This window comes from Homo sapiens, chromosome 8 (genome assembly GCF_000001405.40).
Source record: "Homo sapiens chromosome 8, GRCh38.p14 Primary Assembly".
Taxonomy (NCBI): Eukaryota; Metazoa; Chordata; class Mammalia; order Primates; family Hominidae; genus Homo; species Homo sapiens.
In genome coordinates this window covers 65928812-65939063 of record NC_000008.11, presented here as the reverse complement: position 1 = coordinate 65939063, position 10252 = coordinate 65928812, and the positions used below count along the sequence as shown (strand labels likewise).

Sequence of the window (10252 nt, the reverse complement as noted above, 5' to 3'; positions counted from 1 at the left end):
ACACCTACTTACTAGCAAGTCATATAAAAAGAGGTAAATAGACAAAGTGCTACTGGGTTTAGCAGGACACACAGCAAAATCTCATCAACCACTACCTGAAGTGCATGGGAAACCCAGGGGCCAGTGATGAACAGCCACATGGATCTGCATGTGGTTGATTGCTCTCACCAAAGGGGGATGTAAACCTGGAGGGCTGTGGGTAGGACCACAGTGCTACCCTTCCAGTTCAAAAATTTCATGGACAAATTAGAAAAGAGCACTGATTTTGTTTGGCTCTGTGCGCCCACCCAAATCTCTTGTCAAATTATAATTGCCAATGTTGAAGAAAAGGCCTGGTAGGAGGTGATTAAATCATGGGAGCAGATTTCCCCCTTGCTGTTCTCATGATAGAGTTCTCACGAGATCTAGTTGTTCAAAAGTGTGTAGCACCTGCCCCCTTGCTTGCTCTCTCCCACTGGCCATGTGAAGATGTGCTTACTTCCCCTTTGCCTTCTGCCATGATTGTAAGTTTCCCGAGATCTCCCCAGCCATGCTTCCTTAAAGTGTGCAGAACCATGAGCTAATTAAACCTCTTTTCTTTATAAGTTACCCAATCTCAGGTAGTTCTTTACAGCAATGTGAGAATGGGCTAATACAAGCACTGACGGCAGTCTGACAAAATATGACTTCTCATTAGATAAAATAAGTCATCTGTCTTATGATGGATTGAGGACCCAAAAGGACCTCTCTCTACAGACCAGAAAAATGGGTCTAGGCCCTTTGAATTTTTTTCTAAATTTAATTTTCAAAATAAATGTTGTTATCATAGACTATATGGTCTGAATTCACAGAGAATACAATAAAGTATAAGTGTTCTGCTCCATACTAAAAGCAAGGAAATGTTAAACTACCCATCTAACCATATATGTAGGGATATATTCCTTCTATAGAAAGGGAGGGCTGGGCACAGTGTCTCATCACTGTAATCCCAACACTTTGGGAGGCCAAGGCATTAGGATCACTTAAGCCCAGGAGTTCAAGACCAGCCTGGGCAACATGGCATGGCCCCATCTCTACAAAAGATAAAAATAAAAAATTATCCAGGTGTGGTGGTATGCACCTATAGTCCCATCTACTAAGGAGGCTGAGGCAGGAGGACTGCTTGAGCCCAGCCAGGGGTTCAAGGCTTCAGTGAGCTATGATCATGCCACTGCACTCCAGCTGGGGTGACAGAGCAAGACCCCGTCAGAAAAGGAAGAAAGAAAGAAAGAGAGAGAAAAAAAAAAGAAAGAAAAAGTGAGAGAGGAGGAAGGAAGGAAAGAAAGAGTGAGAAAGAGAGAAAAGAAAGGAAGGAAGGAGGGAGGGAAGGAAGGAAGAGAAAAAAGAAAGGAAAAGAAAGAAGGGAGGGAGGAAAGAAAGGAGGGAGGAAGAGAGGAAAAAAAGAAAGAAAAAAGAAAAAAGCAAGCAAGCAAGAAAGAAGAGAGATATAGCATGTAAATCATACAGCTTGTGACTGTGTCACACTAAATATGCATATGACATAATAAGAATTAAACTCAGTTGCTTGATGTCTCAGTTTTATCATTTTGATAAATAGCTGAAACTGATGTTTGGTGACAAAATATAAGCTTTCTCTGATTTTTCTGATAAGCTTATATATTATATTATAAGCTTACATATATATTATAAGCTTATCAGGTTATAAACAGATTTTGACCTCAAAACTAAAAGTATTTTCCTTTCCTAAAACAATAGATTATTCTAACTTTTCTTTAGCATTTTATAAAATTGATGTGTATGTTTGCATAGCATTATGCCATTATAATATATATTTGACTTCTGTTTCCACAGAGTTCTTATAGGTTATGTTGAGTCAAAAATACAGTGTGTTGTCTCAATGGAGAATATAGCATGTACTTAAGTGAACAAGTGCTTGTTGTAATCTTTCTACTCCTTGGAACTTCAATTACAGCCTTTCCAGATCTGAAAAAGCCAAGTGAATCTATATGATAATCTATGTGCAAGCTACCCAAGGGGGCATACTTCTGGAATACATTAGTCCCTACTTGCATGGGGTTGATTTTGTAAGAGAAAATAACTGATTAGGCAGCAGCCTGGTGCCTTATAATTCAGAACCAGCAGTGATCAACTTTGTTGTGCTCACATGAAACTTGTACTGGGTAGAAGAATAGTGTCCTCCCATCCCCCAAATTCATTTCTTTTCCAGAACCTTGGAATGTGACCTTACTTGGAAACAGGGTCTTGTATTAGTCCATGCTCACACTGCTATAAAGAACTGCCTGAGACTGAGTAATTTAAAAAGAAAGAGGTTTAATTGATTCAGAGTACCACAGGGCTTGGGAGGCTTCAGGAAACTTACAATCATGGCAGAAGGTGAAGCAAACATGTCCTTCTTCACATGGCAGCAGAAAAGAGAAGTGCAGAGTGAAGAGGAGAAAACCCCCTTAGAAAACCATTAGATCTCATGAGAACTCACTTACTATCACAAGAACAGCAGGGGGAACCACCCATCTGATCTAATCACCTCCTATGAGGTCCTTCCCCCAACACATGGGGATTATAAATCAGATTACAATTCAAGATGAAACTTTGGGTGGGGAAACAGCCAAACCATATCATTCCACCTGCTGGCCCCTCCCAAATCTCATATCCTCACTTTTCAAAACACAATACTGCCTTTCCAACAGTCTCCCAAAGTCTTAACTCATTCCAGCATTAACCCAAAAGTCCAAGTCCAAAGACTCGTGTGAGACAAGGCAAGTCCTTTCTGCCTATGAGCCTATAAAATCAAAAGCAAGTTAGTTACTTACAAGACACAATGAGGTACAGGCATCAGGTAAATATACCTGTTCCAGATGGGACAAATTGGCCAAAATAAAGGGGCTATAGGCCCAAGCAAGTCTGAAATCCAATAGGGCAGTCATTTAACCTTAAAGTTCCAAAATGATCTCCTTTGATTCCATGTCTCACATCCAGGTCACGCTGATGCAAGATGTGGGCTACCATGGCCTTGGGCAGCTCTGCCCCTGTGGCTTTACAGGGTACAGCCCCACTACGGACTGCTTTCATAAGCTGATGTTGAGTGTCTGTGCATTTTCCAGGTGCATGGTGCAAGCTGTTGGTGAATCTACTATTTTGGGATCTGGAGGATGGTGACCCTCTTCTCACAGCTCTACTGGGCAGTGCCCCAGTGGGGACTCTTTGTGGGCTCTCCAACCCCACATTTCCCTTCTGCACTGCCTTAGCAGAGGTTCTCCATGAGGGCTACGCCCCTGCAGCAAACTTCTGCCTGGACAGCCAGGCATCTCCATACACCCTTTGAAATCTAGGCAGAGGTTCCCAAACCTTAATTCTTGACTTCTGTGCACCTGCAGGCTCAACACCATGTGGAAGCCACCAAGGCCTCGGGCTTATACCCTCTGAAGCAATGATCCAAGCTGTACCTTGGTCTCTTTTAGCCATGGTTGGAATACAGCCCACCAAGTCCCAAGACTGTAGGACGCAGCAAGGCCCTGGGCCTGGCCCATGAAACCATTTTTCCCTCCTAGGCCTCTGGGCCTGTGATGGGGGCGGGGGCTGCCTCAAAGACCTCTGACATGCCCTGGAGACATTTTCCCGATTATCTTGGCTCCTTATTGCCTATGCAAATTTCTGCAGCTGACTTGAATTTCTCCTCAGAAAATGAGTTGTTTTTTCTATCGCATTGTCAGGCTGCAAATTTTTTGAACTTTTGTGCTCTGTTTCCTTTTTAAACATAAGTTCCAGTTCCAAACCATATCTTTGTGAATGGATAAAAATGGAATGATTTTTATGAGCACCCAAGTCAACTCTTGAATGCTTTGCTGCTTAGAAATTTCTTCTGCCAGATATCCTAAATCATCTCTCTCAAGTTCAAGATTCCAAAGATGTCTAGGCCAGGGGAAAAGTGCCATCAGTATCTTTACTAAAGCATATCAAGAGTCATCTTTATTCCAGTTCCCAACAAGTTCCTCTTCTCCACCTGTGACCATCTCAGCCTGGACTTCCTTGTCCACATTGCTATCAGCATTTTGGTCAAAGCCATTCAACAAGTTTCCAGGAAGTTGCAAACTTTCTGACATCTTCCTATCTTCTAAGCCCTCCAAGTCTCTAGGAAGTTCCAAGCTTTCCCACATTGTTCTGTCTTCTTCTGAACATCCAAACTGTTCCAACCTATGCCTGTTACCTGATTCCAAAGTCACTTCCACATTTTCAGGTATCCTTATAGCAGCACCCCACTCCCTTGGTACCAATTTACTGTATTAGTCCATTCTCACACTGCTATAAGGACATATCCAAGACTGTGTAATTTATAAAGGAAAGAGGTTTGATTGACTCACATTTATGCAGGGCTAGGGAGGCCTCAGGAAACTTACAATCATTGTGGATGGGGAAGCAAACATGTCCTTCTTCATATAGCAGCAGGAAGGAGAAGTGTAGAGCGAAGCAGGAAAAGGCCCCTTATAAAGCCATCAGATCTTGTAAGAACTCACTCACTATCATGAGAACAGCATAGGGGAATTGCCCCCATTATCCAATCACCTCTACAAGGTCTCTCCCCCAATACATGGGGATTATAATTTGGATTACAGTTCAAGATGAGCTTTTGGGTGGGGACACAGCCAAACCATATCAGTTCTTTACAGATATAACTACTTAAGTCAAGGTGAATTCATACTAGAGTAGGATGAGCCATAAATCCAATCTAACTGGTGTCCTCATAAGAAGAGGAGAAGAGACACAGACACATACAGAGGGATGATGATGTGAAAACACAGAAACACACAAGGAGAATGCCATTCAATGACAGAGGCAGACATTGGAGTGATGGATTTACAAACCAAGGAACACCAAGAATTGCCAGCAATCTGGAAGCTAAGAATATGTCATGGAACAGATTCTCCCCTAGAGCACTAGAGAGGGCATGGCCCTGACAGCACCTTAAGCCCTGTCTCCCTTCAGCTGGCTAGTCTTCAGATAGAGTTGTCCTTCCTGCCCCCTACATTTTGTTCTCCTTTTGATAGTCGGAGAGATCTTTCTAAAAATGTAAATCTTATTATGTCACTCCTCTGTGTAAAACACATCAATTGCTTCCCCATTGCCTTCAGGATAAATCCCTAATTTTCTGGTCTGTCCTCAGCTCACCTCACCTTGGGCCAATCTTCCCCCCATAACTTCTTGTCCAGTCATGCTGCATTTCCAGGTACTCCTGCTCATTCTCCCATTGGCCTTTGTGCCTTTATTCCCTTTGTCTGGAGCATTCTTCCTCCTCTCCCTCCCTAGTGCCTCCCAACATCCCTTCTCCTGGCTAATGTTCTTCAGTCTTGGCTTAGACAACTCTTCCCAGGAGGCCTTCCCTGCCCTCCTAAGTGCTCTCTGTGAACTTGATGCTTCATCCAACATTGTTCATCACCCTGTGTTGCAATTGCTTGTTTATTTGTATAGCAAGCAGGAATTTCACTCTTCATTACTCAGGTGCAAAAAAAAATGTCACATTCCATTATTCCTAAAATTAAAACTAAATGTGCTCCTAATTCTCAGCCTCTTGACTCATGAGAATTTAATCTGTGGGCTCCTTCCCCACCCCACACCCTCATGAGATCACCCAAGAATTCTGAATTTATGCAACACCAGAAAACTGTTTCTCCACAGAAAATTGATGCTGCAGTTGCATGCTGGTCTGGTGTACTGGTTCCCTGGCAAACTCAGGGACCACTCCACCCCCACCCCAGCAATCCTCTCCACCAGTTACAGAAAGACCACAGGACCCTTGAACCTACTAAAAGCCCCAGCATGTATTGGCCAGTCTGGACTGACTTTCCATTAAGGCAGAGATTCACCCGACCTTACACACCCCACTCCTCAACACTCAGCAACCCCTCAAACGCCTTACCTTCCTTCTGTCTAGGGAGACCTGTACTTCCTCCCTCCCCCATGCATGCACACACAGCTAGACACTCCTGTCTTTCCCATTTAAGTCTCTTTTCCATGTTCTGAGTCAAATCATAATATTCCTCCTCACCCAGTTAGAAGCAGAAAAGCATTTACTACCACCTTGGATAGGTTGGGTATAAGGTGAGTGAGCCCTATAGACACTATGTAGGGCTCTCCATCTGCTGGGAAATTGAAAAACATCTTGACCCTCATTACTTTTCAGCCCCCATCCATCTACCTCCTATCCACCCACCTTGTGAATTAAAGCAGCAAAACAAAAGCAATACAAATAACAAAACACCAGTTACATTTGTAAAAAGGCTCAAATGATTACATTGTTTTTCTTCCTCACTAAAAGTAAAGTTTCCCAAGGAGAGAGAATGCTCTGTTATATTGGCTATATAGTCAGTGTTTTAACCATTACTCTGTACTGGTAGACAACAAACTATCTTTAGAAAATGGACAAACTTGCTAATAATTAAATAGTATAGAGTAGAGGTAAAGAAGCATAGAATTAGAGCTGGGTTTGATCACATCTCCTGATATGTATAAACCTGTGACTTTAATGTACCTAGAATGTTTGACAACTAGAGAGCACCATTTCTATTTATTTATTTATTTATTTATTGGTATTGTTTACTCTTTTTTCCCCCCTTTAATTGTTTTTTTTTGTTATTATACTTTAAGTTTTAGGGTACATGTGCACAACGTGCAGGTTTGTTACATATGTATACATGTGCCATGTTGGTGTGCTGTACCCATTAACTCGTCATTTAGCATTAGTTATATCTCCTAATGCTATCCCTCCCCCCATTTTTAAAAACATCTTCTCCTCTATACAACAAAATTATTTTCTGTACATTCAGGTCATAATTGGTAAATGATCATTATTTTCTTGATTAATGTTTAGGTTTTAAGATGCTTTCTTAGACTAAATAGCACCTGAGTGCCAAGGCACCTGGAGGGTACTGAGCCACAGAATCAGCAATGTGAGCAACATCTTCTTGATCTGCCTCTAATTTCTTGGCAAATGTTGGAGGTTGAAAGTGAGAGTGGAGAGGCATCAACAGTGTTTAATCTTTAAGCCTTCCTCTCTGTAAAGTTATAATGATAATTTTTAGCATTTTTTAATGGAATCTATTAATTCTCAGAGGTAGCTCCTGCTTCTGCATCATGAAGGAAGTTGCACTTGTTCCCACAGAAACAGGATATCATTGACCACATCTGACATGACAACACAGCAAGGAAATGGAGCACCTTTGGTAAGTGCACTAGATCAGCTGCTGCTACAAAAGTTGAAAAAGAATAACACGAAAGAATTAAAAAGCTGGTATATATGTACAGAGCACACAACAAACAAAATAATTACTGCAGTTTTCAGTTCCAAAATTGACTAGAAACTTAATATCCTTTTGATTTTAATATTCATTCATTGTAGGGAATAATTTTTTCTCACCCCAGCATAATAGGCAAGCTATTTAGAACATTAAATTGTATTATAAATGATGACTACCAATAGGGATCCTGGGATCCGGTTGTGGTCATATCACCAGAATTTAATAGGAAAATTATTTTTTTCTAAAGAGAAAAATTTTTTTTAAATATTGAGACCTGTTGTTCAAAAGAAAGGAAAGACAAGTGATATAAAGAGGATTAGATTCTTATTTGACACACTATAAATAAATAATCCACAAGGACTATGGGCAGAAGTTTTTGGACTGAAGGTAATTTTAGAAGGCTGCCATTTGAATGACAAAGTGGGTTTTTTCAGCCCATCTCCACCACAAACACACATCTTTTTTCCTAAATCCTGGTGTAGGTGTAGGGGGGAATTTTTGAAGTGTAACTCAAGTTCGAAGAGACAGAAATCATGTGACCTTAATTAGGTACAGGAGTCTTACTAACAAGAGGAAAGTGAAGGAAGAAAGGCAGGAAGGAAGAGTGGGGAGAGAGAGGGAGAGAACGAAAGAGAGGGAGAGAGATTGAGAGAGACCTAAACTACATTTTCAATCTTTTCTATTCAAATTTTGGTCCAAGAACTGCAACATATCATCACCCGGAGCTCGACAGAAACCCAGGCCCTCAGCTATCCCCATCCCCTGCTCTCCAGCCAAGACCCGGGGAGTCAGCACCTGCATTTTCGCAAGCTCCCCAGGTGGTTTGTAGCACACTGAAGTGCCAGTAGCACTGTCTTTCAGAACTATGCCAAGGCCAGACAGTGGCAGGGACTCAACCACACTCTGCCCCACATGAGGAGGTTGACAGAACGCAGAGAGGGCCCAGGGACGAGGCCCAGGCCAGGCATTTGGGGAAACACAACAGGAGGCACAGCCCAGGGGGCTGAGTCTGTGCCCAGCGACCTGGCTGGAAAGCAATCCCAAATCTCTCCCGCTCTGAGGACTCTGTGTGGTTAGAAATAATCTCTGGAAGCCAAAGGGCTAAGTGACACGTTCCCTGTATGCCTGTCTGGCTATCAGGGACGTCTCTTTGTTGTGAATTCTGTCACTTCCTGTCAAAAGAGGGCTTTGGAACTGAAGTTACTCTTGAGAGCATCAGGTAAAATTTTTGAATTAAAATAAAACCAGTTGGCCAGGCGCAGTGGCTCACGCCTGTAATCCCAGCACTTTGGGAGGCCGAGGCGGGCGGATCACTTGAGGTCAGGAGTTTGAGACCACCCTGGCCAACATGGCGAAACCCCCTCTCTACTAAAAATACAAAAGTTAGCCGGCATGGTAGCTCATGCCTGTAATCCCAGCTACTTGGGAGGCTGAGGCAGGAGAATCGCTTGCACCGAGGAGGCGGAGTTTGCAGTGAGCCGAGATCGCGACACTGCACTCCAGCCTGGCGACGGAATGACACTCCGTCTCAAAAATAAATAAATAAAACCAGTTGACAAAGGAAGCTGTGCTGAAGTAATAGAGATTTTATAATAGGAAGGAGCACATGGGAGGGCTCCTGACTTCTTGAGACGCGACTGTCACCGAGGAATAGGCGGGACGTTATCAGAGGCGGAGCCCCTGCTGGCTACTCCAAGAGCCAGGTCTACCTCAAATCCCGAACTCACAAACCTACTAGTGAGTGCTGAGCACTCCTCCAGCAGCCTCACACAGGGAGATGCCAGGAAGAACCAACAAGCCCACTCCATCCTGGTGGAAATAGCTGTTATTCCACTGGTAATCCATTTAGACCCGAAAAAAGGAAAATAACAGAGGACCGTGAATAGAACGATTCTTCAGCAGGTTCAGAATCTCCAACATTCTGCTACAGCCGAGATAAATAAACTGAAGTTCTGCTGAACAAGAAAGGATGTCAGTACAACCTAAAATCATTTGCCAGAAAATATGAAAATACTGAATCCTTCCTTTTCTGGAGGGTGGTCTTGAAGTCTCTCACCAGAAGAACACATACTCGAAGCGGGGAAAATGGAGCCCACTGAGCAATGCAAGTTGGGCTCCATTGTCAGAGTAACCACACCTGCAGAATGGGACATGCTTTGTTTGCCCTAACCCAAGGCCAGATTTCTTTTTAGTTAGAAAAAAAAAATGGTTTTAAGTAAGAATGTTGTGCAAGGGATAGAGTGGCGGGAATCGTAGAAGAAGATCACGTCCAACAACCACAGTGCACCACAAGTTCTTGGAACCTGCTGCTGCCTTCATATTTGGCACTAACCAGCCTATTGTCCTGTCTAGACAAGTGCTACAGGCTGAGTAAACAGGGAATTGCTGCATAAAGCCTCTATTCATCCAGAATGAAAATGTGTCAATGTGCAGCCTTTTAGAGTCCAAGGGGGCCTTTGTACAGAGAAAGAACTGTTTACAGTCACTTTGGTTTTCAATTAGTAGTCACTTATTAATGTTACAAAATTTAAAACCCATCTGCCTTAAATTTTAAGTGCAATTTACAAGACATTTGATTTTATTTGAAATTCTAATAAAATATGAGTCACTTTTAGTTATTATTTTATTAATACCTGATTAACTTAAGCTAAACAGGCTAAATTCCTTTTAATAGCCATTCCCATTTACAAAGTTAGTTAATTCCCCAAGTTCTTAGTCATTTCCATAAGCATTTTAACTATATTTGCAAATTTCACATATTTAAGGTTCTCTTCTAGGAGTTCAAATGCTTAAAGGGTAAACTAAACATTCCTTACAAGCAATACAATTTTATAATCTAATAAATTAGACTACAGATAGATAGATATTGATATAGATATATTAATGCACCACATGACCACATACACCAATGATGTTTGTCCCATAAGATTAAAATGGAGTTGAAAAATTCCTATTGCCTAGTA

General features: G+C 42.1%; 2 annotated features.

Annotated features, from left to right (window-relative positions):
* Positions 7704-8222: an enhancer, noted in NCBI's record as "H3K4me1 hESC enhancer chr8:66843077-66843595 (GRCh37/hg19 assembly coordinates)". NCBI's record gives its function as "activates a minimal SCP1, AML or CMV promoter by ChIP-STARR-seq in naive and primed H9 embryonic stem cells {active_cell/tissue: H9 hESC(naive and primed)}" and the evidence as "EXISTENCE:reporter gene assay evidence [ECO:0000049][PMID:30033119]".
* Positions 8223-8741: an enhancer, noted in NCBI's record as "H3K4me1 hESC enhancer chr8:66842558-66843076 (GRCh37/hg19 assembly coordinates)". NCBI's record gives its function as "activates a minimal SCP1, AML or CMV promoter by ChIP-STARR-seq in primed H9 embryonic stem cells {active_cell/tissue: H9 hESC(primed)}" and the evidence as "EXISTENCE:reporter gene assay evidence [ECO:0000049][PMID:30033119]".